This window comes from Homo sapiens, chromosome 2 (assembly GCF_000001405.40).
Source record: "Homo sapiens chromosome 2, GRCh38.p14 Primary Assembly".
NCBI classification, from domain to species: domain Eukaryota; kingdom Metazoa; phylum Chordata; class Mammalia; order Primates; family Hominidae; genus Homo; species Homo sapiens.
Window position 1 is genome coordinate 101,243,108 of NC_000002.12, and position 27,605 is coordinate 101,270,712.

A 27,605-nucleotide genomic window follows, 5' to 3' on the forward strand; every position below is an offset into this window, starting at 1 on the left:
CACAGCCAAAAATATCACTATGGCAATCATCAAAATGTCAATTCAAAGATGGGACAGTAAAGACTATGAGGACTTGTACCCCCCCATTACTAATGACCCCCACCACCTCTCATACAACCTATTCCCCCCACCCCACATTTCACAAAAACGAATACCATCCCAAAATATATACACTATCTATACGGAGTCCAATAAAACTATACCACTTAAAAGTTGTGTTAAACCACCATATATGTTATTAGTAGGAAAGATGCATATTAGTTCAAAAATCAACATAATTACATGTGTTGTTACTTGTATACTTGCATTGACTCATCTTTTAATCAATATCATGGTATTTTAATAGAGCCAGGGAAGTTATTTGGCACCTCGTAGCCTTACATAGGCCTTGGGAATCTTGACCTTCTATCCTTGTTATTAATAATATTCTACAGAAAAATCTTAAAAGGAGTAAATGATTTATTTTTACATTAATTGCAGTAATAATGGGCTTGATTGCTGTTACTGTGACTGCTGCTACTGCTGGAGTTGCATGACATCAATCTATTCAATCTGCTCATTTTGTGGATAAATGGCAAAAAAAATTCTACTCAGATGTGGAATTCCCAGTCAGGTATTGATCAAAAATTTGCCAATCAAATTAATGATCTAAGACAAACTGTTATATGGATGGCAGATAGAATTATAAGTTTAGAACATCGATTACAAATGCAATGTGATTGGAATACTTCTGATTTTTGTATAACTCCATTCTAATATAATGAGTCTGTTCACAATTGGGAATCAGTAAAACGCCATTTACAAGGAAGTGAAGATAAATTAAGTTTAGATATAAGCAAGCTAAAAGAACAGACATTTGAGGCCTCTCAAGCACACTTAACTGCTTTACCTAGTGCTGAAGTTTTAGATGGTATCTCTGAGGGGTTATCTAATCTCAACCCCATTCAATGGGTAAAATCTTTGGGAGGATCCACTATCATTAATTTTGTTCTGTGTATAATTTGTGTTATTGATTTATTGTTCATGTGTAAAATTGGAAAAAATACTCTTCAATCCAATCGTGATCAGTGCCAACCTATGATTGCTATGGTTCATTTAAATCAGAGAAAAGGGGGAGATGTAGGGAGACCTCCTGAAACTATTGCTACGGAATAAAAGATGAAATGCTCCTGATTATTGTAAATACAAAATTGCAGGCAGGATTGTGTAAAGACAATGCCAGGTTGGACTGCCAGAATGAGCCAACAGCACATGATGTCCTTCCCCCTGCAGAGAGCCTATGAACGGACATGCAGTCAGGGAGGCTTCACATCACCAAGATTCCTATCCCAGAAAAGCAGATGTTCATAGCTCTGGGAATGGAATGTGACCCTTGTGGAGAGACTATAAACGGATGCATGAGGGGTGCCTGTTCATATGGATAAGATAGGGCTATAAACGCCCTCATCTTGCCACAGCTCTTCTAGGCCTCTTTAGGGTTAAGGCATGCTACCTTCTGAGAATTTCTGGTCTAACCGGTTGTCTAGCTTCATGTCCTGTTTCTATGGATTGTGTGTAACCAGCTTTTACTGCAACTGTTACTGCTGATTAATATCTTGCTAATCATAGGTTATGGAAAGACTGTGTTTCTGTTTTAAGGTTCTGTTAGAAATTACTGATGCACACACTATGTTGTAAATTCTTATCTCTGTATACTGTACTTCTGCATAGAGATGTTATGTTAAAGAACTACTTCATCTCCATGTGACCATCTCACCTCATAATCAAACAACTCTAAATCCCTCACTAACCTACCCCCGCCCTCACTAAACTTAATAATAAATGCTGGTATATCCAGTGCATTGACGGCATCGCGGGACCAGAAGGCGGTGACCCCCTGGACCCAGCTTTCACTATCTTGTGTGTGTCTATTATTTCTCAACCTGCCGATCCACCTGGGAACAAAGAGAGAGCCCCACTGCATCGCGGGCTGCTGGCCAGATCCCGCAATATCCATGGTGGTGCACGCCTATAGTCTCAGCTACTCAGGAGGCTGAGGCAGGAGAAATGCTTAAACCTGGGCGTGGAGGCTGCAGTGAGCTGAGATGACGCCACTGCACTCTAGCCTGGGTGACAGAGTGAGACTCCATCTCAAAAAAAAAAAAAAAAAAAGCTGTTTCATAAAAAGCTGTTTTATCACATGGCACAAATTAAATAAACAGACGTTAATTAAAACTATTAAGGAGTTCCGTGAATTTCAATATTTAATGCCAGCTGTTATTCACATTAATATTTTAACATTTTACCATTAAGATATTTACTACAAAGGATTGATATGTATTTAACTGTTTAAGGCTGCGCGTACAGGCTTACGTCTGTAATCCCGGCACTTTTGGAGGCCAAGGCAGGCGGATCACCTGAGGGAGAACAGCCTGGCCAATATGGTGAAACCCATCTCTACTAAAAATACAAAAATTAGCTGGGTGTGGTGGTGCACATCTGTAATCCCAGCTACTTGGGAGGCTGAGTCAGGAGAATTGCTTGAACCTGGAAAGTGGAGGTTGCAGTGAGCTGAGATGGTACCCCTGCACTCCAGCCTGGGTGACAAAGCAAGACTGTCTCAAAAAAACAAAAACAAAAACATACGTCATGGTTTAGAGCGCTAGTTAAACCTGCTCAAATCGTTCCTGGACCAAACTGAGGGTCAGGCTGCTATTTCTTGTGGCCCAATAATGAGATGCAGATGAACTGGGTAGGAAGACAGTTTTTATTTCTGCAACCAGTTACAGGGTGAAGGCCTGGAAATTATCACCAGACCAACTCAAAATTACAAAGTTTTCTAGAGCTTATATACCTTGTAAGCTATAAGTCTACATGTAAGTGTGCATTCATCTAATGACATAAGTGATTAACTTCTTTTAATCTATAACTAAGGTCTGAGTCCTGAAAACCTTCCTCTGGAGCCTGAGTAAATTTACTTAATCTAAATCCGTCCAGGTGCTGGGGTGATTACCCTTATTTTGCCTCCTGCTAAATCATGGAGGTTTGGGGAGTTCCTTCAGACCCCCAATAAACTTGTTTGTGGAGGACTGGGGGAGTTTCTTCAGACCCCCCCCCCCAAAAATTCATTTAATCCTAAATGGGTCCTGTTAAGAATTCCTTCATTATTTTGTCATGCTTTAAAACCCAGGACAGGCCTAGGCAAAACTCTTGGTGGGCTTCTGTTACATTCCAGCCTTTGTACAAGGACACTGGCTTTTTTAGCTTTTAATATTTAACTTAGGTCCAGCGCAGTGGCTCATACCTGTAATCCCAGCACTTTGAGAGGCCACAGTGGGTGGATCACGAGGTCAAGAGATTGAGACCATCCTGGCCAACATGGTGAAACCCGGTCTCTACTAAAAATACAAAAATTAGCTGGGTGTGGTGGTGCGTGCCTGTAGTCTCAGCTACTCAGGATGCTGAGGCAGGAGAATTGCTTGAACCCCGGAGGCGGAGGTTGCTGTGAGCAGAGATCGTGCCACTGCACTCCAGCTTGGTGACAGAGCAAGACTCCGTCTCAAAAAAAAAAAAAAAAATTTTAACTGACCACTCAGTACTGAAACAGTTGTTTTGGAGGCCTGCATTAGCGAGACCTGGCCTGCCACAAAATGACTAAGAGGAAATGGAAAATAACATTCCCTGAATGCCTACTATGTGTACAACTCTACTTATGTATCTTGCTTAATTTTTATGATGATTCCATGAGGGAGTTTTTTTTTGTTCATTTTTTTCAGTGATTGTCCAATCCTGCAGACCATGAAGTAGATTTTAATTCTCATTTTAGAAATCAGGAAAGTAAGGCTCAGAGAGCTTATTCAAATTTCCTGAAGATACATAGCTAATAAATTGTAGAATTAGAATCTGAACCTAGGTCTACCTGACTGCAAAGCCCATGTTTTGTGGAAAACTCTCCTCTTTATTCTTTTTATTAATTTCATAAAATTAATCTCAACTGACATTTGAATCAGCATCTCTGTGGGTTATTGAAGAGAAGTTATAAGTTGTCAAGCCTCTGCTTTGCAGTGAGAAAATATGGGTAGGATTTGAATGAGATAAGAATGGGATGCTTGGCCGGCACGGTGGCTCACGCCTGTAATCCCAGCACTTTGAGAGGCCGAGGCGGGTGGATCACGAAGTCAGGAGATCGAGACCATCCTGGCCAACATGGTGAAACCCCATCTCTACTAAAAAAATACAAAAAATTAGCCGGGCATGGTGGCGGGCGCCTGTAGTCCCAGCTACTCGGGAGGCTGAGGCAGAATGGTGTGAACCCGGGAGGTGGAGATTGCAGTGGGCCAAGATTGGCCACTGCACTCCAGCCTGGGCGACAGAGCAAGACTCTGTCTCAAAAAAAAAAAAAAAAAGAATGGGATGCTTGCACAGTATTTTGTGGTTTTTAAATTTTTTTATTTTTTGTAGAGATGGGGGTCTTACTATGTTGCCCAGGCTGATAGTATCTTATTTATGCTGCTAAGGGAATATTTTTGTCTCCCTTTTTAACAGCAGGGTATCCTAGGAGAATCTTTTGAAATTGAGCTCAGTCCTGAGGTCTGAACTTTTCCTATTGTTAGTCACCTTCAAACCAAGTGATTTGTTACCAGCTAAAGGTTATGTTATTTAGAAGGCTTTACTCGATTTTTATTTTTTTATTTTATTTTTGAGATAGAGTCTTGCTCTGTCACCCAGGCTGGCATGCAGTGGTACGATCTTGACTCACTGCAACCTCTGCCTCCCAGGTTCAAGCGATTCTCCTCCCTCAGCCTCCCGAGTAGCTGGGATTACAGGAATGTGCCACCACACCCGGCTAATTTTTGTATTTTTAGTAGAGATGGGGTTTTGCCACGTTGGCCAGGCTGGTATTTATTTATTTGAGTTGGAGTTTCGCTCTTGTTGCCCAGGCTGGAGTGCAATGGCACCATCTTGGCTCATTGTAACCTCCACCTCCTGGGTTCAAGTGATCCTCCTGCCTCAGCCTCCCGAGTAGCTGAAATTACAGGTGCCTGCCATGCTCAGCTAATTTTTTGTATTCTTTAGTAGAGCTCGGGTTTCACCATGTTGACCAGGCTGGTCTCAAACTCCTGACCTCAGGTGACCCACCCGCCTCGGCCTCCCGAAGTGCTGGGATTACAGGCGTGAGCCACCACTCCCGGTCTGGATCTTTAGAAAAGGACGTGATGGGGAGGGTTAGTGAAGAAGTGGGGCAACGAGAATGTAGACTGCAGTGTGGAAAGGCAGGACCAGTAGATGCTTGGAGAGCAGTTGGGGGGAAAAAAAGAATGATCATTACAATTAATAGCAGTAGCTTTGCTTCAGTTATAACTTAAGGAAAAAGGCTAAGGGGCCTATATTTTTTGCTCCAGATCCAGTGATTTAATTTTGAGAAGCAAGATCCAGTGATTGAACTCATGCAAGGGGATGACCTGGGGCCTGTGAAAAGTCAGGTTGCAGTTTCCATTGTATTCAGGAAAACCAGAAAAATAAATACAACTTTTGGAAGAAACTTTAAGTTTTCTCCCATTCACATTTAACCCTAGGGGTCTCACACTTCTGGAATTGCTTAGTGTCACGTGTGTCCATATAAACCACCTAAACAGGCTTTGTGTGAGCAACAAGGCTGTTTATTCACTTGGGTGCAAGTGGGATGAGTCCAAAAAGAGAGTCAGCGAAGGGAGATAGGAAAGGGCAGCTTTATAGGGCTTGGGTAGGCAGTGGAAAGTTACAGTTAAAGGTGGTTATCTATCGTCAGCAGAGGAGGGGGTCACAAGGTGCATGGTGGGGAGATCATAAAACTCATTGTCCAGAAGAAGAATGTCACGAGGTCAATTGATTAGTTGGGGCAGGGCAGGAGCAAGTCATAATGGTAGAATGCCATAAGGTGGATTAATTAGTTAAGGCAGGAACTGGCTGTTTCACTTCTTTTGTGGTTTTTTGGCTGCTCCAGACTTCTTGGCTCCTGCAGGCCATCTGGACGTGCAGGTCACAGGGGTTACAACGGATGAGCTTTGGCTCAGAGGCCTGACATTCCTGTCTTTTTACTTATAAAATATAAAGTTATAAGAAAAGATAAAGAAAACATAAGTTTTTACTGGGGATTATTGGGGTAGGGGTTATGTTAATCAGGGCTGCTTCTGGCATGACTTAGGGGCGACGTGGACACCTAAAGAAAGTTTAATTTTATAGTGAGTTGGTCTAGAAAGTTTTTAGGTACAATTCTGTGTGGCTAACAAGGCACCAGTTAGCATATTTTGAGCTTGAAATTGTCCTAATAAATTCTCTAAAAACAGCAAATAAGCATAATAGCGTTAAGGTAGGTGTCAGTGAGTTTCTATGCCAAGGTAGGAATAATGTTTTAGGTACCAAAGCCTTTTGTCCCCATTTTCCATCATATGAACAGGATTCCCTGTTATTTAGGCAATGATCTATTATATTACCCTTTTCCTATAGGTGTGAGTGGTGGTCCAGATGGAGAAGTTCAATAGTTCTGATTGCAGATCCTATGCAGGAGAGATAATAATCTTTGTCTCCTGGGTTAAGCTAAGGCTGGCAAAGAGACAAATGTCCCAAGCCTTCTAACAACCAGTGGCATAGTTTATGTTGTCCTGGATGCTGGTCTGGTTGCCAAATATGGGGAAGGAAATGAGGGGCTATATAGGAGGCAAGCCAGAGGCTTATATCCTACGTGGTAATGGTCATGAAGGGAAAAGAAAAAAGAAGCAAAAAGCAGCCCAAGAAATCACTTATTTTCTAACAAAGAGCAGCCTGAAAGATCGAGCTGCAGACATAAATAAGGAAGCTGGAAGCTTGCACAGGGTGATGCCAGCAGCCACACAGACACAGCAACCTGGGGCCATGCGTGTCCACCATGGGGGCTCCACCTTCCCTTTTTTGTTAGCATGTACACAGTAGGAAAGAGATCAGTCACAAGAATAGCTACCTGCCTGCATAATAAAAGACTGGGGTGGGGGCTGCCAGAGATTCACACTCTATGCAGATGGCACACCTAGTCCTAACCGGTTTTCTTTTTGAGACAGAGTCTCTATCACCCAGGCTGGAGTGCAGCAGCACGATCTCGGCTCACTGCAACCTCTGCCTCCAGGGTTTAAATGATTCTCCTGTCTCAGCCTCCCAATTACCTGTGATTACAGGTGCCCACCACCACGCCTGGCTAATTTTTTTGTATTTTTAGTACAGACGGGTTTTCTCCATGTTGGTTAGGCTGGTCTTGAACTCCCGACCTCGATGATCCACCCGCCTCGGCTTCCCATGTTTTTTATTTTTTTTTTAAGATAAAATAAAATGTTCAAATATTTTTGAAACATCTTGGAAAAAACCCACACAGCATTAGTATTACTACATTAATAACTGGCAATTGGTATAATTACTACTATTAAATAGTATTAGAACTGCAGGAAAATTACAATAACAAATAGACCCATAGACCACCCAATGTAAAATGGCTTGCACAAAATACAGTTTATTATAATAACAAAAATTTTTTTTTGAGACAGTCTCACTCTGTCGCCCAGGCTGGAGTGCAGTGGTGAGATCTCGGCTCACTGCAACCTCCACCTCCCAGGTTCAAGCCATTCTTCTGCCTCATCCTCCCAAGTAGCTGGGATTACAGGCATGAGCCGCCATGCTCGGCCAATTTTTATATTTTTAGTAGATTCGGGGTTTCACCACGGCCAGGCTGGTCTCAAACTCCTGGCCTCAAGTGATCCACCTGCCTCGGTCTCCTAAAGTGCTGGGATTACAGGCATAAGCCACCTTGCCCAGGCCCTATAATAAAAAATTTATGAGAGTACTTTTGAGCTAATTTGAATCAGTTCCCCAAGTTACCACATTATATCTGCTGCTGTTAGGAACGTTAATTGGCAGGATCTTTCTGAAGTGCAATTTAGCAGTAAATTGAAGAAGCCTTTAAAATTCAGTAGATATCACACCTGTTGACCCAGCAATTTCTCTTCCTTAAATTTTTCATAAGAATTGAGGTAGCAAACCAAATATTACACTTCTAAGTGGGAGCTAAGTTATGAGGATGCAAAGACATAAGAATGATATAATGGACTTTGAGGACTCTGGGGTGGGAGGGGGTATACGTGGGACAGGGCTGAGGGATAAAAGACTATATTTTGGGTACTGTCACGCGCGTCCGTGTGGAGACCACCAAACAGGCTCTGTGTGAGCAATAAAGCTTTTTAATCACCTGGGTGCAGGCGGGCTGAGTCTGAAAAGAGTCAGGGAAGTGAGAGAGGGGTGGGGCCATCTTATAGGATTTGGGTGGGTAGTGGAAAATTACAGTCAAAGGGGGTTGTTCTCTGGCAGGCCGGGGCGGGGGTCATAAGGTGCTCAGCGGGGGAGCTTCTGAGCCAGGAGAAGGGATTTCACAAGGTAATGTCATCAGTTAAGGCAGGAACCAGCCATTTGCACTTCTTTTGTGATTCTTCAGTTACTTCAGGCCATGTGGATGTATATGTGCAGGCTTGGGCTCAGAGGCCTGACAGGTACAGCGTACACTGCTCTGGTGACGGGTGCACCAAAGTCTCAGAAATCACCACTAAAAACTTATCCATGTAACCAAAAACCACCTGTACCCCCAAAACTACTGAAATACAAGTTTTAAAAAGATGAAAAAAATTTTTTTTACATAAAATATCTTTCTCCCCAAAAACACATAAAATAAAATAAAAATATGTTTTAAAAAAGAATTGAGGTGGCTCTTAACTAGATAATTAGAATCGCTGGTGGTAATCACTGGCGAAATACGCGTACGTTTCTGTAGGTTTAGGGACCGGGCAAGTCTGGGAAATGCCACCTGGTGGTTCTCAGCCCAGACTACACCTCAGACTCACCTGAAGAGGTGGGGTTTATTAATATCTCAATCAGCATCTCTGGGGGTGGAACTAGGTATTTGTAACGTCTCCCCGTGGGTTTCTAATGCACAGCTAAGTGCCCAGGATAAGTGCCCTAGGGCAATCTAAGTAAAACGTGGCACAGCAAACAATTTTGTAAATGAATATTAACTGGAGACATGTTCTCGAAATCATGTTAAGAGAAAAAACCATGTACAAAAAAGCTCATAGTGCAGTATGATTCCATTTCTGCAATGAGTGTAAGACTAGAAATTAACCGTGGTTATGTGAAATGTGTGGTATATTTGCATTTACTAAATTAAAAAAAATGTTTCTGAGACAGAGCGCCCGGGCTGCAATGCAGTGGTGATCACAGCTCACTGCAGCCTGGGACTCCCGGGCTCAAGCGACCCTCCCGCCTAGGACTCTCAAAGTGCTGGGATTACAGGCACGCGCCACCACGCCCGGCCTGCATTTACAATACTTTTTACGACGAATACTTACGGATGTTATATTAAGAAAATAGTTAACATCTGAGGTGCATTCTTCCAAATAATAACGTAGACAGCACTTACTGGGACCGTCTGGCACCAGGAACCGTCCTGGGGACCGCCAAAGGGCGGCTTAACCTCGCAGCTGCGCAGACGCATGCAGTCCCCGGGCTCTCCTGCCGCGGGACCTCGGCAGACCTAACCCTGAACGCCACCAGCCCGACCTCGCCCCGCCCCTCCCCTCCCTTCCCGGGCCCCGCCCCCGCTTCCTGCCAATTCGCCCCGCCTACCCCGCGTCTCCGCATCCTCTTCCTGGCTTCGCTCCATCAGCCTCGCTTTCGCTGGGCGCTGTCCCTCTCCGCGGCGGTCTGGTTTCCCCGACGTGTTTTGTTTGCGACGCTGTCGTGTAACAGCGCGCTTTACGGCCGCGGGGACGGAGCGAGCCGGCGCCAGGGCCCCTCGGGCCGGGAAGAGGGGAAGGGGAGCGAGGTTGATGCCCGGCGGAGGGGCGAGCGCGGCGTCTGGCCGGCTTCTCACCGCCGCGGAGCAAAGAGGGTCCCGGGAAGCGGCAGGGTCGGCGTCCAGGAGCGGCTTCGGGGGCTCCGGCGGCGGCAGAGGCGGAGCAAGCGGCCCCGGGTCCGGGAGCGGAGGCCCGGGGGGCCCCGCGGGCAGGATGAGCTTGACCCCGAAGGAGCTCTCGAGCCTGCTGAGCATCATATCGGAGGAGGCGGGCGGCGGCAGCACCTTCGAGGGCCTGTCCACCGCCTTCCACCACTACTTCAGCAAGGCCGACCACTTCCGCCTGGGCTCGGTGCTCGTCATGCTGCTCCAGCAGCCCGACCTGCTGCCTAGCGCGGCGCAGCGCCTCACGGCGCTCTACCTGCTCTGGGAGATGTACCGCACCGAGCCGCTGGCCGCCAACCCCTTCGCCGCCAGCTTCGCGCACCTGCTCAACCCCGCGCCGCCCGCCCGCGGCGGCCAGGAACCCGACCGCCCTCCGCTCTCAGGTACCTCCTGAAGCCAGCTGTGCCGTGTGGATAGCGTTAGATTCCGCAGCTTTCCACCTGCGCTGCTGGGAACTCACCTGAAAGGGAAATTAACTATCCCTGTGAAATGATCATCCTCTTTTTCCGCCTCTCTCTGCGTTCCCACGCCCCTCACTCCTCCCCGCCTTAACTCTAAAGAATGGAGAGGTGGTAGCTTAATTGCAAGTTCGTGACACCGAAAATGATTTCTCTATACACCCCATCACATCATACAGCTCAGTGTAGGTCTTGACATGTTTAGTGTCTCAAATACGGTTCGTTCTTCGAAAACCCGTCTGTGGTGTGTGAAGTTAAAACCAATGATAAGACTGGATCTGTCCCCGGTTTTTAGTCTCAAAGGAGTACGTGGAAGTCAGTATTAAGAAGCTGAAGAAGTTGGTGGGCGGAAATACACATGAAACACCTTAAAGACTTTGCAGCCGCCTTTCTTAGCCTGTTAGGGATGGGGGCAGAGGATAGAAAGTCTCAAATTGATGATCTCGCGTTTGGAAACACATGACTTACTGGACATTATGTAAAGTGCATACGTGGTATACATTATGTAAAATGTATTTACTATTGTGTGGCATTGGTGAGATCAAACTAGTAGGTTAGATGCGAGGCTGCATTTTTTTTTGTTTTTAAGCTCAAGCAGGTGATGCTTTATGTGGATTTGCTTTGCGAGAAGACTTGCAGTCAGAAAACAAGAAAAATGGCATGTTGACAACGGGACCTGAAGGATTTAGGAACCAGTGTAGTGGAGGAAGCACACAGAGATAGGAAACAGCTTGATCTTACATTCCTTAACCAGTATAGGTAGGGCCTGCTATACAGTGAGTCAAGGCTAGGCAGTAGATTTTGAAGTAACACCAGGAGTTTGTTTTTATGGTACAGGAGGGCCGCGTTTCTAGTTAGTGTTCCTGCCGGGCATCCCATCAGGATCTTCTGATAGGTGTCCTGTAGTGCCCTTATCTAAGAAGGGCAACCCTTTGTATTGGCCTGAGATGCCTTTAGGGTACAGGTACTTAACCTGCTTCTAAGAAGCTTGTGACTGCCCAGAAAGTGAATGTAACACAGGTTTGTGGTCAAAACTCACCACCTAGGCCTGGCTAGGTGGCTCACGCCTATAATCCCAGCACTTTTGGAGGCCGAAGTGGTGGAGGTTGGGGGGTGGGAATTGCTTGAGGCCAGGAGTTTGAAACCATCCTGGGCAACATAGTAAGATCCTGTCTTTACAAAGCAATAAAAAATTTGCTGGGCATGGGGTGGCTAACACCTGTAGCCCCAGCTGCTCAGGAGTTTGAGGCAGGAGGATCACTTGAGCCTAGGAGTTTGAGGCTGCAGTGAGTTAGGGTGACAGCTTCTAAACACACACACACACACAGACAACCACCACCCTAGGGTGCTTGTATTAGAGGATTGGGACACTGGGATTTAGATCAGAGGGCCCTTTGAATTCTGAAGAACAAGTGAGGCAAAGAAACCGTGACTTATATAATGTCATTCTCATGTACAGTGAATCTAAACCCACACCTAGTCCGTAGACCGCATTATACACACAGATTTGCCATAGGTGGGATGGCAGTCACCAGAGAAGGAATCCATGGATGGATTATATTTAACCATTTTGTGCCTCAGATTCCTCATCTGTAAAATGCAAATAGTAACAATTCCCAGCTGGTAGAGTTGTTACAAAGAATAAAAGTACCTGTGAGTGGGCTGGGCGCGGTGGCTCACGCCTGTAATCCCAGCACTTTGGGAGGCCGAGGCGGGCGGATCACAAGGTCAGGAGATCGAGACCATCTTGGCTAACACGGTGAAACCCCGTCTCTACTAAAAATACAAAAAATTAGCCGGGCGCGGTGGCGGGCGCCTGTAGTCCCAGCTACTTGGGAGGCTGAGGCAGGAGAATGGCGTGAACCTGGGAGGCGGAGCTTGCAGTGAGCCAAGATTGTGCCACTGCAATCCGGCCTGGGCTAAAGAGCGGGACTCCGTCTCAAAAAAAAAAAAAGTACCTGTGAGTGTTACCCACTATTATACCATTATTAAAGTAGGTAGGGATGGTGTGTAGATAACATAGAAGAGAAAATATCAGTGCCTACACTCCACTCCCAGAGCTGCTGATATTGTATGTTTAGGGTAAGACATTTAGTGGGTATGTCTTCAGAATGCTTTTCAGATGACTCTGAACAGAGGCAGGGCTGCGATTGTGTAATGCTGGGTAGTTAAGAGGAAGGAACGACCACCTGTGGAGCTGGAGAAATTCTCAGGAGTGATATTTTTTGCTGGATATTGATTAGGGATGCAGGAGGGAGGGCAGGAGTAGCTCTGCCAGGTATTATTAAAAAACTGGGTGTAAGGCCGGGTGTGGTAGCTCATGCCTGCAATCCCAGCACTTTGGGAGGCCAAGGCAGGCAGATCACTTGAGGCCAGGAGTTGGAAGCCAGCCTGGCCAACATGACGAAACCCCATCTCTACCAAAAAATACAAAAATTAGCCCGGCATGATGGTGCACTCCTGTAATCCCAGCTACTCAGGAGTCTGAGGCAGGAGAATTGCTTGAACCTGGGAGGCGGAGGCTGTAGTGAGCTGAGATCGCGCCACTGCACTCCAGCCTGAGCAACAGAGTGAGACTGCCTCAAAAAAAAAAAAAATAGTGTAGAAGTTGAGGGATTTTGTGCAACCGGGGTGTAGGGTACATGGATGGGAGAGAAGGTCAAGAAGTGAGATTAGGAAGGTGTGGTGGGACCAGATTTTGAAGGGTCTTGTAATGGTGTAGAAATCTGGGTTTAATTCTGTGTACACAGGTTAAGTAATGTGATCAGATTTGTACTCTAGAGATATAACTAAATGGTAAGAGGAAGTATGGACTATGGGTGGTGGGTGAGCAGGGGTCAAAACTGGGAGCTGGGGAAGTCAGTAGAGGGGGCAGGAGTAGTCCCAGCAAGAGAGGCGTGGGGACTACATCTGAGGGAATGCAGCCTGGTGACATTTCTGCAGTGGGAGAGATGAGGCTTCATGAGCAATTAAACATGGGACAAAAGGGAAGGAACATTCAGCCTTGTGGGAATTTGTAGCTGCATTGTGTGTTGAATCAGGTAGTGTATTTGGATAGCTGCTGGTTGCTCTTCTATTTATTCAACTTCTACACAGTGGAAACAGAGAAGAAAGAAAAGCATTTCCGAGCACTATAGTGTTGTCTGTTTTTGTTTGCATATATAAGCTTTAGCCTTTGCAGGAATTGAGGCACTTTAGAAAATGCAGTTATTGGGCCAGGCGTGGTGGCTCACGCCTGTAATCCCAGCACTTTGGGAGGCCGAGGTGGGTGGATCTCGAGGTCAGGAGATCAAGACCATCCTGGCTAACACGGTGAAACCCTGTCTTTACTAAAAAGTACAAAAAATTACCTGGGCGTGGTGGCGGGCGCCTGTAGTCCCAGCTACTCGGGAGCCAGAGGCAGGAGAATGGCGTGAACCCAGGAGGCAGAGCTTGCAGTGAGCCGAGATTGCACCACTGCACTCCAGCCTGGGCGACAGAGCGAGATTCCATCTCAAAAAAAAAAAGAAAAGAAAATGAAGTTACTAATGTGAGAGTTAAAGAGGAAAGAAACACCAGGCGGGGCACGGTGACTCATGCCTGTAATCCCAGCACTTTGGGAGGCTGAGGCGAGTGGATCACCTGAGGTCAGGAGTTCAAGACCAGCCTGGCCAACATGGTGAAACCCCGACTCGACTAAAAATACAAACATTAGCTGGGCATGGTGGCAGGTGCCTGTAATCCCAGCTACTTGGGAGGCTGAGGCAGGAGAATCTCTTGAACCCGGGAGGTGGAGGTTGCAGTGAGCCAAGATCATGCCATCACACTGCAGCCTGGGAGACAAGAGTGAGACTTCATCTCAAAAAAAAAAAAAAAGCCACAAAACGCAGCTTGGCAGTCAAAGACAGATTTTCTTTAGTTAGAACCTGAGAAGCACTCCTGGCCGATGTTTTAACTAAAGAAAACCTGTCTTTGACTGCCAGGCTGCGTTTTGTGTTTCTTTCCTCTTTCTTTAACTCTTACAGTTAACAAGTACAAAAACCTTAAGTTTCATTTGTAGGGCCACAGATCATAGAATTTCAAATGACATATTACATAGTTTGTAAATGTATATATTTGGTTGACTGAAACTTAATCATAATTTAGTTCTTAAAACTATGTGGCTTGAAGTGGCAAGTAGCAAGTACTGATTTTACCAGATTCAAGTTGATTTTTAAAAGTAACCATTGGAGAAATCGTTATACATTTTTGTTTGCAGGATTTTTACCTCCTATAACTCCACCAGAAAAGTTTTTTCTTTCCCAGCTGATGCTGGCACCCCCACGGGAACTCTTCAAAAAGACGCCTCGCCAGATTGCACTGATGGACGTTGGAAACATGGGCCAGTCTGTGGACATTAGTGGGCTTCAGTTAGCCTTGGCCGGTAAGGAGGAATCAGTGTTTTGGGCATTTCTGTGTGGTAATATTAGGCCTCTCTTGTTGAGGACTCTACTAAAATGATGTTTTTTGTAACTGCTAAAAGGTTAGTATCATCCATTTTAAAAAGTAGTTTTAGTACTGGATCTTAAATGGAAGTCTTGGCTGGGCACGGTGGCTCACACCTGTAATCCCAGCACTTTGGGAGGCTGAGGTGGGCAGATCATTTGAGGTCAGGAGTTTGAGACTAGCCTGGCCAGCATGGTGAAACCCTGTCTCTACTAAATATACAAAAAATTAGCCAGACATGGTGGTGCAGCACGCCTGTAATCCCAGCTACTCAGGAGGCTGAGACAGGAGAATAGCTTGAACCCGGGAGGTGGAGGTTGCAGTGAGCTGAGAACAAACCACTGCACTCCAGCCTGGGCTACAGTGAGACTCCATCTCAATAAATAAATAAATAAATAAATAAATAAATAAATAAATAAATGGAACTCTTTAAATTTTTGGATGCTAATAGCATGTAAATTCATTTGGAGTTTTCACTTGAATTGATTGCTTTTTCTGTTTTAGAAGAAAGCTGGATAAAATTTAGTGGGTTTTTTTTTAAGTTTTGATTGGAAGACTTACTATTTGTTAAAATGTCAATACTACCCAAAACAATCAACAGATTTGGTGCAATTCCTGTCAAAATTCCAACAGTGTTTTTTGCAGAAATAGAAAAATCCGGCCAGTCACAGTGGCTCACACCTGTAATTGGGAGGCTGAGGCACAAGAATCACTTGAACCTGGGAGCTGGAGGTTGCAGTGAGCTGAGATTGTGCAACTGCACTTCAGCCTGGGTGACAGGGCGAGAGTCTGTCTCAAAAAAAAAAAAAAAAAGAAAAATCCATCTTTAAACCAAAGAAAGGCTGGCATAGTAGCTCATGCCTGTAATCTTTGGGAGAGGCCAAAGTGGGAGGATCGTTTGAGGGCAGGAGTTCAAGACTAGCCTGGGCAACATAAGGAAACTTTGTCTCTGCAAATAATTAAAAACTTAGCCGGGCGTGGTGGTGCATGCCTGTGGTCTCAATTACTTGGGAGGCTTAAGTGGGAGAATCACTTGAGCCTGGGAGATCGAGGCTGCAGTGAGCTGTGATTGCGCCACTGCACTCCAGCCTGCACAATATCGTGAGACCTGTCTCGGGATGCTGAATAGCCAAAACCCAACGTTCTCTTGGCATCCTTGTTGAAAATCATTTGCCCATATATGCAAGGGTTTATTTCTGGGCTTTCTATTCCATTCTATTTGTCTATATGTCTGTCTTTCTGCCAGTACCACACTGTTTTGATTACTGTAGCTTTGTACTAAGTTTTGAAATCGGGAGGTATGAGACTTTCAACTTTGTTCTCGTTCAGGATTGTTCTGGCACATTCTGTGTTAAACCTGTAAGCAAATGAATGAGTGCTCTTGAAGTAAACAGTGTGTCCTGACAGAAAATAATAGGAGAAGGAGAACTGGTGGTCAGAGAGAGGCTCTCTGAGTTCTGAAGGAGTAGAGGAGGCACTTTGGGCTTGCCTGCTGTCAGCATTCATTTTCTCACTTGAGAGCAACTCAACAGGGAAATTGTAATATGTAGCTGGGTTTGTGAACCCTTGACTTTGTAATTAAGTAAGCTGAAGTATTTTGACAATGCCCCATCCTTCTTAGACTTCATAAACCTGTGACATTTGGCTTCTGATATAAGGTGACATGTTGCAGTAAACAGCTTTTCCTTTGCAACATTGTGAACCTTTAAACTATTGGGTATTAACAATATAACAATGGGGCCAGGCACAATGGCGCATACCTATAATCCCAGCAGTTTGGGAGGCCAAGGCATGAGAATCACTTGAGCCCAGGAGTTTAAAACCAGCCTGGGCAACATAGGGAGACCCTGTCTCTACAAAAGTAATTAAAAAAATAAAAATTACCTGGGTATGGTGGTGTGTGCACTTGTGGTCCCGGCTACCCAGGAGGCTGACATAAGAGGATCACTTGATCCTGAGAGGTCAACGCTACAATAAGCCATGATTGTACTACTGCACTCCAGCCTGGGCAACAGAGTGAGACCCTGTTACAAAAGCAGAGACAAGAACAATGTAACAATGGTTATGTTCTGAAACCAAAAGAAATCTTTTTAAGACTTTTTAAGGTTGTACTAATAAGTACAAAAGTACTAGCCACTAGTGCCAGATATAATTTAATAGAAATAAAATGATTACTTTTATTTATTCCTGACAAACACCAAAGATACTTTGAAAACTGGATACAGAAGTGATGTATTCTGATGGTTCTAGCTTAGTATTTATTATAATATTTATTTATAGTATTTAAATAGTAATTTTTTTTATCATAATAAAGTGAGAATCACATCTGACCTTCCTTTTAACTTGGGATGCCTTGAGTAGCCGTAAGAAAGTTGTGAAGTATATCACGTGGAGGAAGGATCACATGTCTAGAGTAAGGGCTGAGAAGCCTGGCCGAGTGGCTAAGCTTGCTGCCTGCCGTCCTCTACCCAGATTGCAGATGTCCGGATCCATTCCTCTTCACAAGTGTAAAGAAAAAGCAAGCATGCCTCCACTCTGGAGCTAGCCACCCAGATCTTCTCTCTGGAGGTCTAAAATTCAGATGTCTTCCAGTGGCATCCGTGGACCAAAGGTGTATTTTTGGATGATGCAGTTTGTGTTTTCTTAACTTTAAAAAAACAAGTAGACAAGTTAAACATAAGTGACTACAAGGGGTGAAGTTTTACCCTAACAATGAGTTTTCATTTCAGAGGTTTTGTTTTTCTTTATGATTTATTCCTGACAAACACCTACCACTTACTAGTTTACCAAACAGCTGGCCAATTTATCTTTTTTTTTTTTTCACATTTTGGTTGATAATATGTTATCTAACTTTTTGTACTTCAACAATCTGAGATTTTTTTAAATGGCATTACAGGATAATTTTAGTGAGCATTTCTCCTAGTAAGTGGATGAGAAAAGATGCTATATGTCTAAGGCATCTTTTCATATGTCTCTGGCCATTTTTCCATTGGGTTGATGGTCTTTTATTGATTTGTATAGTTCTTTAATCAGGAATTTAGCCCCGTGTTTTTAAAATTACACAATCTGAAGTGAAACATGCATTCACTTTTTAAAGGAATTATAATTAAGTGAACCAGGAGCAACCTGCCATCCAAGTTAAGAAAGAGAATATTTTCAGGGCCTACAGGCTCCCTGTTTCTCCCAGTGGCTGCCTCATCACTAACCTGATTTTTGTGATAATCATCCTCAATTTGCTTCCCTCCTGTGCCTGCCTATAGTTTCACTTTGCATGCCCTTGAACTTTATACATGTGGAATTGTACTGCATTTATTCTCTTGTGCCTTCCTTCTGTTGGGGGTTGACAGATGAGTCCATGCTGATGGCGTGTAACTGCAGTGGCTGCCCTTCATTGCTGCTGTGGTACCTTCACACTGTGGAGTACCAAGTTCTGTGTCCATTCTGTTGTTGATGGACATAATACTGCTGTGAACATTCTTGCACATTATTCTGGGGCGCGTGTGAAAGTGTGTCTCCTAGATGGAAAGAAATGCACATGTAAACATTATAAAGAAACATCAAATTATTTTCCAAAGTTGCTTTGCCATTTTTCACTCCTGTAGCACCATGCAAGTTACCTTACATCCTCTTCAGCATTTGGTAATGTCAAGTTTATACATTTTTGCCAATCTGGTGGGTATGTTATAGTATCTTGTGTTTTAACTGGATTTTCCCTAGTTCCTAATGGGATTAAATATCTTTTCAGATTTTTTTGGCCATTCAAGCTTTTTAAACAAAATCCTTATTAAAGTTACTAGTCCATTTTTTCCTGTTGGTTTCTTTCTTTCTTTTTTTTTTTTTTTTTTTTGAGATGGAGTCTCGCTCTGTCGCCCAGGCTGGAGTGCAGTGGCGCGATCTTGGCTCACTGCAAGCTCCGCCTCCCGGGTTCATGCCATTCTCCTGCCTCAGCCTCTCGAGTAGCTGGGACTACAGGCACCTGCCACCATGCCCGGCTAATTTTTTGTATTTTTTTAGTAGAGACAGGGTTTCACCGTGTTAGCCAGGATGGTCTCGATCTCCTGACCTCGTGATCTGCCTGCCTCGGCCTCCCAAAGTGCTGGAATTACAGGCATGAGCCACTGCGCCTGGTGGGTTCTTTCTTTTTTTAAAACATTGATTTAAAAATATATGTACAGTAAGTCATCACTTAACATCACTGACGGGTTGTTGGAAACTGCAGATTTAAGTGAAGTGATGTACAGCAGGTCCTTGAATAACACTGTTTCATCAACATTGTTTTATTATAACATTGATAAAAATAGTTGTTTTGTTACACGTCACTTCACTTAGTGGCAGATTCCAAGAACCTTTCAACAACGCTAAGTGAGGACCTGCTATACGTACAGACATACACACATTTTCTCTCTCTCTCTGAATCTGGCCCTTTGTTTTTCTCTGTTACAGATAGCTTGCCTCAGTTGGTAGCTTGTCTTTTCTCTCTCCTCATGATGTCCATAATTTTAAAATGTCTCCTATTTCCAGAACGCCAATCTGAATTGCCAACGCAAAGCAAAGCGAGCTTCCCCAGTATTCTCAGTGACCCAGACCCGGATTCTTCTAATTCTGGATTTGACAGCTCAGTTGCCTCTCAGATCACAGAAGCTTTAGTCAGCGGACCAAAGCCACCTATTGAAAGTAGGTACATATAAATTAATTTATACTCTTTGTTTTATTCTGTCAGCAGGATCCTCTAGGACTTTTCAGTTTTTGAGACATCATTTTATTTTTATTATGACTTAAATTGTAATTTAGTGTGAATCTTTCTAGTGTAGTGAGTGTCTAGAACATAGTAGAGATGTTCAGTGACAGTTAATTTCTTCTTTAAGAAAAATGCATGCCAAGTTGTTTGTTGCATGTCTATCCTATGCATACCTAAAGATACAGGCTGGGCGCAGTGGCTCACACCTGCAATCCCAGCATTTTGGGAGGCCGAGGCAGGTGGATAACTTGAGGTCAGGAGTTCTAGAGCAGCCTGGCCAACATGGTGAAACCCCATCTCTACTAAAAATAAAAAATTAGCCGAGTGTAGTGGCATGCATCTGTAGTCCCAGCTACTTGGGAGGCTGAGTCAGGAGAATTGCTGAGGCAGAAGTTGCAGGAGCCGAGATCGAACCACTGCACTCCAGCCTGGGTGACAGAGTGAGATTCTGTCTCAAAAAGGAAAAAAAAAAAATACAGATTCTCATTTTACTGAAATGAGTCTTTTTGTAGCAGCTCATTATCTTTTTGTTTTATACCTGTTAAATCTTCTTATTGCTATCATTTCCTTTTCCATTTTAAAGTTTTTCTTATAAACTCCTAATTTACTTTAATTCAAAGAAAACACTTGTAGAATTTGAAATAATATAGCTGCATTTTTTGGGGATTTCTTTAAGAGATGGAATCTTGCTATGATGCCCAGGCTGGACTCAATCCCTTGAGGCTCAGGGGATCCTCCTACCTCAGACTCCCACATAGTTGGAATTACAGGCATGCACCACTCTACCTGGCATCTGTTTTATAGGCTTCTGTGTGCTTTGAATTATGAAGGCAAGCTTTCTGCTTTGGGATGAGAACATGTTTACCAGATGATAGTGTAGTATCACCATGAGTTTGAAGTTCACACAGTGACTTTTGTACCATTTGGTTTACAGTAGATCTTTGACATACATAGGTTTAATATTTGAAGTTTCTGCTGGTCACAAGTGTGACTGAAATGTCCATGGCATGTAATGGCTTCTTTTAAATATTTGCTCGGGCAGAACTCTAAATTGCATAGGTCACCAGGAAGATATATGAAAAGCAGATCACTCATAATAAGTGGGTCTAGCCAAACACCAGGTGTCCCCACCTCGCAAGAACTCTCTATCACATAAGTAGTATTTCTCATAAATTGTTAAAAACTTTATTTTTGTAAGTGGTTGAAGGGAGATTCAGATGCTAGTCCTGGTGAGGTAAGTGAAGAGGCAGTGGAGATGTTTAAGATAAAGTGATGATTTTTAACTAAAAAATATTTTCTGTAAACTCAACAGTAGACTCTCAAATTTGGCAGGGCTAGGATCCATGACAGGAATAAGCCACTCCTGCCCTATGTGGAAACTATGTGAGATGTGAAATTGGTTCAGCAGAAGTCCTAGCCAGCATTTATTTCAGTGGGTTTGTAACTCAGGGATGAATCTTGTTTTATAAAATAGTTGAGTTGAACCACTTCATTTTCCTTTTGTACTTCTATTGTTTTCTGAAAATGAATATAGTATTTGTGAATTTAGGGATTCGTGACGGTTTCCACATTCGTTTCGAAATATCAAAAGGCAACCATACTTTTCCTCCTGCTGCTTCATCGCCACGTAATTTGTTACTTCAGTTATAAGATGCAAAGATAAAACTAGTACAAATCATAGTGGCAGCTGAACAAATAGTGGTAACTAAGAATAGGATGTGTGAGGGCATAGTATTTCATTTTTTCATCAAAAGACTTCACCCGTTTAGGAGTCGTGCCCTTTTGCTGTTGAGTGGCCATGCTCAAGTGCAGCATGGGCAGATCACGGCCAGGCTTTCCTCACTTCTGCAAAGCGAATAGATTGTTCTCTGGCATCATGCTGGCATAGTGTTCTTTCATTGTCTTGTTTGCATTCTGACTGAAACCCTGACTTCCTGTGTCATTCCTGCTTCTGATTTTGAAGTATGAGAGTTCTAGTCACATCATCCTTATTAAGAGATTTCTTTGCATACTTTATTAAGTGAAATGTGTGAGATGTGTAGAGATGTTAGCTTCCTGATAGGAGCAACTATCACGGCTCTCATTACAGGCCATTTTCGACCAGAGTTTATTCGTCCACCGCCTCCACTCCACATTTGTGAGGATGAACTTGCTTGGCTAAACCCCACGGAGCCTGACCACGCGATCCAGTGGGATAAATCGATGTGTGTTAAGAATAGCACTGGTGTGGAGATCAAACGAATAATGGCCAAAGCCTTCAAAAGCCCCTTATCCTCTCCCCAACAAACACAGGTGTGTATTGATTGTAAGCATTTTCTTATCTTTTTTTTTAAATTTATTTTTAATTAAAAAAATTTGTTTTTGAGACAGAGTCTCACTCGGCTGCCCAGGGTGGAGTGCAGTGGCACGATCTCGGCTCACTGCAGCCTCTGCCTCCCGGGTTCAAGTGATACTCGTGCCTCAGCGCCCCCAGCAGCTGAGACTACAGGCATGCACCACCATGCCCGGCTAATTTTTGTATTTTTATGAGATGGGGTTTTGCCATTGTTGGCCAGGCTGGTCTGGTGGCTTCAAGTGATCTGCCAACCTTGGCCTTCCAAAGTGCTGGGATTACAGGTGTGAGCCACTGTACCCAGCCATTGTGAGCATTTTCTTATCTTTAATCCAACAAGAGTTTATTTTTTTTTTGGAAAGTGGTAAGCAATAAACTAATCCTGTCACTGTGAGTGAGCAGTAGGAAGTTGCAAAGGTTTTTGGGTCTCTGAAGCTTTGTTCTACTCTTTGGTAATTTTGCTGTGGTGGGGCAAGAAGTCTGATGGCAAAAATGTTCTAACTTTTCTTTGTGATGTTTGTCCCTGGGAGAGGTGGGGTAGTGGGGGTGTCACTGCTGTGTACAGTGGGACACTACACAATGGTTACGTTTGAGCTGATGGTAACGCTTCTGATGGAAAGTGGAGTTACTGACAGGCTGTAGGGAGGAAAACAAGGCTGGGAAGGGGAACCCGCCCCCATCACACAGCTGGATCGTGGTGTATTTGAGATTAAAGTAGCCCCCACTGCCCGAGTGTGAGACTGGATGACTCTCCTCAGGAAAGGCAAGGCCACTCTTCTATTGGTTGGTGAATTTTATCCAGTTTGCACACTTTTGAGTTAGAACTTTTTAGGAGATGACCTCTCCTATCACGTTTGCCACCAAAAATATCATTTTCAAAACGAAATAATAGCAACGTTTGTAGTTCGCTTTGCTCGCAAGACCATCCTGAAAACACAGTCCACTGTGGAACATATTAAGTAGACGGGGGAAAAAAAGCATAGGACATTTAAAGAGGAAGTGCTTACTTCATAGAAAAAGTCCTTTGAGGATACCTGTTTGAATTACAAAGTGTGGGTGTGACTTGAACTGTAAAGTTCTGCAGACTGATGACTCGCAGCAGGTCAGCTGTCCGGATTCCCGCTCCGGCTTCCCACTCCGCCCCCTTCTCAGGTATTTCTGGTCTCCACCTGGGTGGGGTGGGGCAGGACTGTTTCTTGGGAGAACTAGTTGGTCATTAAGATTATTTTTAGTTACAACAGATGACAGAAAAAAAAAACCTGCAAAGGACTTGACATTGTTACAACCAGACAGTATTTTATCTGACCAGACAGTGTGGAGTCTGGTTTGATGCCCAGGAATAGGAATCACTAGCATATTTATAAACTGTCTTAGATGTGTTTGCATTTTAGTTTGTTCAAAATTAAAATGTAAATTTAGAAATGTCAAGACATCATGGGTTTGAAGGAAGAAATTTATGAAGTTGGTTCAATGCAGATAGTTTTGTAGCTTTTTGTATAAAATGCTTATTTCATATACATGGGAAAAAAAATTGACTCAACACCCTTTCTCTCTCCCTCTCTCTCTCTTTAAAAATCTGGTGTATTTAGCTACTTGGTGAGTTGGAAAAAGACCCCAAACTTGTCTACCATATTGGCCTCACCCCAGCCAAACTTCCTGACCTTGTGGAAAACAACCCTTTAGTCGCTATAGAAATGTTGCTGAAATTAATGCAGTCAAGCCAGATCACTGAGTATTTCTCTGTCCTGGTCAATATGGACATGTCTTTACATTCAATGGAAGTTGTAAATCGGTAAGTTTCTAGATTTGATCAAATGTGTGGGGATAGATACAGATTAGATGGCCAGGAAAGAAAAATTGTAACAGATTTTTGTCTTGATATTATTGGCGTAAGATTAACTATTAAAGAAATAATGTAAGCCTTAGCATTCACTACATGTAAATTTAGCATGCGTTAATAAGAACTGAGGGTAGGATTTCAAACATATTTAGTGTTAGTAGAAGCATAAATGAAATTTAATTGCTGAAATTTATTTTATTTATTTATTTTTTTGAGAGGGAGTCTCACTCTGTTGCCCAGGCTAGAGTGCAGTGGCGTGATCTCAGCTCACTGCAACCTCCACCCGCTGGGTTCAAGCAATTCTCCTGCCTTAGCCGCCCTAGTAGCTGGCATTACAGGTGTGTGCTACCACACCCGACTAATTTTTGTATTTTTAGTAGAGACGGGGTTTCGCCATGTTGGTCAGGCGGGTCTCGAACTTCTGACCTCAAGTGATCTGCCCACCTCAGCCTCCCAAGTGCAAGGATTACAGGCATGAGCCAGTGTGCCAGCCAATTGCTGAAATTTATTTCCCTATACATAGTCCTGTCTTCTTTATCCCTATACAAATATAGATACTATTTTTTCTTAGTGACTAACAGCTGTAAGTGTGGAAAAATATGGACCTTAAGAGCTGAGAATCCTAGGAATGCTGTCCTAGCTTCCTCGTGCTCTTCTCCCAGCCTTTCTGACCCCCAGGCTCCTGACCCTGCCATCCTTGACTGTCAGGAAAACAGAACATCTTCCCTTCTTGATGTGTGCTGTACAGTGTTTGCATTTTAGAGTATTTTCCTTACAAATATCTTTTAGGTAAATTGTGAATTAGATGGGCTGGAGGGCTTAAGTTGTTTATGTGCAGGGTGGCCAGAGGTTCAGGTGTGCCTGAGAGTCCTGGTGGAGGCTTTGCATCCTGAGCTCCCTTTCACGTGGTATCCTGTTTTGGATGATAAATTATATGGTCCTCCTGTATGGGGAAATCCATTCTGAGTGCCAAGCAACTAAACTTCAGTACTGGAGAGCATAGTTTTTGAACACCTGTTTGTAAGTTGGGGCTTTTTGAAAAAATCTATGTGAAATTGAACTACAGAATGTGTCCTTTTTTCATCAACTATTGGGGGAAAAAAAGCCCAGCTGGAAGCTGAGGGAGTGGAAGTACGTGCATAGAAGGAGAGTGCGTTCTTTTAGCGGTAGCAGAGGGAGGAAATGTGAGGTTTCCAAATTAATTTTTAACTTTAACCGTGGTCACTGGCAAAACCGGCTAGCTGCTTGTTGAAAACGTGCTGCTGCACATCTCCCCCCTCTTTGTTCCAGTCTTTCCCCTACTGAGTGAAGACTCACTCTTTTCAGTGGCCCAGTTCTGTGCAGGTCCTCCGGATTGACCACGCTGAGTGTTCACTTCCCTTTCACCATATTCTTATAGCAGTTCTTGTCTCTACCAGACATTTGGCCCTGAGTCCAAGATGCAGAATCACTTACATCTTTTTATCAATGTGATTCTATCTGCTCAGTATCTTGGAATTCAAGGACAAGGTCCTGTTTGTTTTCCCCCGATACCTATCATAGTGCATCATCCTTAAACGTGAAACACGTTTTTTGGCGACGCACAAATCTCAAGAGACTGCAGCAGCTCATGACAGTGTCCTTGGAGCACTACATCCTCATGCCTTATTGAAAAAAGTTTTGAGGTCTGTTAAGTTTAGAAAAGGCAGCATATATTAATCTTCTTTTGGAAATTCATACTTTGAGTACGGAATTCCTGTTCCCACCCCACTCGTTTTTCTCATTAAAACATTCCATGTAATCCTTTGGAAAATACTGGCTTTGGCCTTTATTATGACTCTAAATTCCAATAACAGACCATGACTTAGGATTTAACCAAGAATACTCAGGGACAGGGCTCAAAAAAATAATTGCGATATGTAAATGTAAGTAGAGACATTTTAAACAGTGTTATTTATGAGTAAGTAGGTATGGCTCTTAGGTTAATTTGCCCAAGTATATTTAAAACTAGGGAATTGGATATGTCAGAAAATTCCACCAGATGACCAAAGCAAATTTTGTATTTTATGGTTAACAGTGTTTCTCAATGTTAGCAAATGAAATTAATGGGCCAAATTTTCTTTTACGAAACAGACTAACTACAGCTGTTGATCTACCTCCTGAATTTATTCACCTTTATATATCAAATTGCATCTCTACTTGTGAACAGATTAAGGATAAATATATGCAGGTAATATAAATTTTTGTAAATTTTATAAATGGCTGCCAGGAAAATGAGCAGACTAACATTTTTTTTTTTCCTTTTTCAGAATCGGTTGGTGCGTCTTGTGTGTGTGTTTCTCCAATCCTTGATCCGTAACAAAATTATTAATGTACAGGATTTGTTTATAGAAGTGCAGGCATTCTGTATTGAATTCAGTAGGATACGAGAAGCTGCTGGTCTTTTCCGGTTGTTGAAGACATTGGATACTGGGGAAACACCTTCTGAGACCAAAATGTCAAAATAATACCTCATCAGAACCATCCCATCCATTCACTGTTCAGCTGTACTGTGATTTAGTTTTTACACCGTTAAAACCCTGAGTGGATTGCTTGGTTTAATGCATATAAACAGTACTTTATCTACTTAAAGCAAAGTTTTGCTTTCTTGAATGACTTTTTCTGTGAGATGAATTTTTGATAAGAACTAGGGAAAACATGTCTTTTAGGTGTCTTGCTGATGACTATCCATAGGAGGAATGGCTATCCCAAAAAAAGTTCCGCAAAAAAGTAGATGAGTTTCTTTTTTTTTTAAGCACTAAAGAACAAAATGCATTTTTCATTAATACAGGCTTCTGATGAACCAGGAATCCTGTTTTCGTAAAGTTCCAATGTTGATGAGAGTAAATTCTTAAGCATTTGTCCTAGAGGTGAAAGCAGCTGAATGTTTCTGAACCATCAAGAGGCAAACAAACAGGAGTTTGTTTCTTGAACCTGCTTATGCACACAGCTCTTAACTCCTCATGAGGCACACAGCTCTTAACTCCTGATGAACCAAGGATTTACTCATAACTTTCTCCTTGTCATGGAGGCTTAATAGACAACAGAATAAATGCATTTCTTGGGCCTCTTATAAACTTGGGAATTCTTAGAAAGCTGCTTCTATTACCAGGCTGTAATAGCTGGTATAGTTTTTTTTTTTTCTCTTAAGATGTTCTGTTATTAGTCTGAGACAGCCATTTTTTTGTTTTAAGGAAAAATATCAGTCAGTGCTCCGGGAGGTAATTTCCTGTGGGGTCTGCACCCTCCTGTCTGGGTGGTGGATGTGGGTTTGAGAAGTAGGAGAGCAGGGTGGTACCGTGTGGGCTCTTACCCTTTATGTGATTTTGGACAACAGTGCCTTCCATTAAAGTTCTTTTTATCAACTGTTATCTGATGTATTTTTTACTTTAAGAAATCATGAGAAATTCCTTTTACTGAGGTATTTTCAAAGCATATTTACAGGGAGATAATCTGTTCAACAGGAATTACTCTCTAACACCTTGAAAAAGTTAAAGGAAACCAAGCCTGTGATTTTTAAGATAAGTACAAGTTCCAGTCTTAAAGCTGGAGAAAGAGCAGTACTAAAGATTTATAATAAATTGTCTATAATAAATTGTTTTTCTTACAAAAGAAATGTTTAAGAATGTTTGCTTAGAGGAAATAATGAACTAAGCCCATCTATCAGAGGAATGCCTTCAGACAATTAAAATGATGGCAACAGAGATTTCTTTTTACACCTAAAAGCGAGCATCCCCGTTTTGCACGTTAGCATTGGGAAAAGGACA

The 27,605-nt window shown here is 43.1% G+C and overlaps 1 protein-coding gene and 2 long non-coding RNA genes across 4 annotated transcripts, besides 5 other annotated features; 1 reads left to right on the forward strand and 2 right to left on the reverse strand.

Moving 5' to 3' along the window:
* Positions 6,828–7,327: an enhancer, noted in NCBI's record as "OCT4-NANOG-H3K4me1 hESC enhancer chr2:101866397-101866896 (GRCh37/hg19 assembly coordinates)". NCBI's record gives its function as "activates a minimal SCP1, AML or CMV promoter by ChIP-STARR-seq in primed H9 embryonic stem cells {active_cell/tissue: H9 hESC(primed)}" and the evidence as "EXISTENCE:reporter gene assay evidence [ECO:0000049][PMID:30033119]".
* Positions 7,471–9,564, reverse strand: LOC124906053 (uncharacterized). The gene is made up of 2 exons (XR_007087160.1): positions 9,449–9,564; positions 7,471–7,800 (listed from the first exon to the last, which is right to left on the reverse strand). It is a non-coding gene; the product is annotated as an uncharacterized LOC124906053 (long non-coding RNA).
* Positions 9,554–10,053: a silencer, noted in NCBI's record as "silent region_11821". NCBI's record gives its function as "represses an Ori minimal core promoter by ATAC-STARR-seq in GM12878 lymphoblastoid cells {active_cell/tissue: GM12878}" and the evidence as "EXISTENCE:reporter gene assay evidence [ECO:0000049][PMID:35858748]".
* Positions 9,554–10,596: a biological region, named in NCBI's record as "H3K27ac hESC enhancer GRCh37_chr2:101869253-101870165".
* Positions 9,684–10,596: an enhancer, noted in NCBI's record as "H3K27ac hESC enhancer chr2:101869253-101870165 (GRCh37/hg19 assembly coordinates)". NCBI's record gives its function as "activates a minimal SCP1, AML or CMV promoter by ChIP-STARR-seq in primed H9 embryonic stem cells {active_cell/tissue: H9 hESC(primed)}" and the evidence as "EXISTENCE:reporter gene assay evidence [ECO:0000049][PMID:30033119]".
* Positions 9,779–27,209, forward strand: CNOT11 (CCR4-NOT transcription complex subunit 11). The gene is made up of 7 exons (NM_017546.5): positions 9,779–10,371; positions 14,684–14,848; positions 19,432–19,584; positions 21,738–21,940; positions 23,570–23,772; positions 25,933–26,029; positions 26,109–27,209. Exons 1-7 carry the CDS (start codon positions 9,858–9,860, stop codon positions 26,304–26,306), a joined length of 1,533 nt encoding a protein of 510 aa, NP_060016.3. The 5' UTR covers positions 9,779–9,857; the 3' UTR covers positions 26,307–27,209.
* Positions 10,424–10,473: a silencer, noted in NCBI's record as "silent region_11822". NCBI's record gives its function as "represses an Ori minimal core promoter by ATAC-STARR-seq in GM12878 lymphoblastoid cells {active_cell/tissue: GM12878}" and the evidence as "EXISTENCE:reporter gene assay evidence [ECO:0000049][PMID:35858748]".
* On the reverse strand, positions 15,708–23,570 carry LOC105373511 (uncharacterized). Of its 2 annotated transcripts, XR_007087158.1 has the most exons (4): positions 23,015–23,570; positions 18,117–18,425; positions 17,242–17,557; positions 15,708–16,934 (listed from the first exon to the last, which is right to left on the reverse strand). It is a non-coding gene; the product is annotated as an uncharacterized LOC105373511 (long non-coding RNA). The 2 variants fall into 2 exon arrangements; XR_007087157.1 differs by lacking the exon at positions 23,015–23,570 and having other exon boundaries at positions 17,242–18,765.
* Positions 27,210–27,605: the final 396 nt, after the last annotated feature.

Coding starts and splice junctions, on each gene's coding strand:
- CNOT11 (NM_017546.5), top strand. CDS start 9,858: ATGCCCGGCGGAGGGGCGAGCGCGGCGTCTGGCCGGCTTCTCACCGCC. Junction 14,849..19,431: donor GCTTCAGTTAGCCTTGGCCG/GTAAGGAGGAAT, acceptor TCCTATTTCCAG/AACGCCAATCTGAATTGCCA. Junction 19,585..21,737: donor ACCAAAGCCACCTATTGAAA/GTAGGTACATAT, acceptor CTCTCATTACAG/GCCATTTTCGACCAGAGTTT.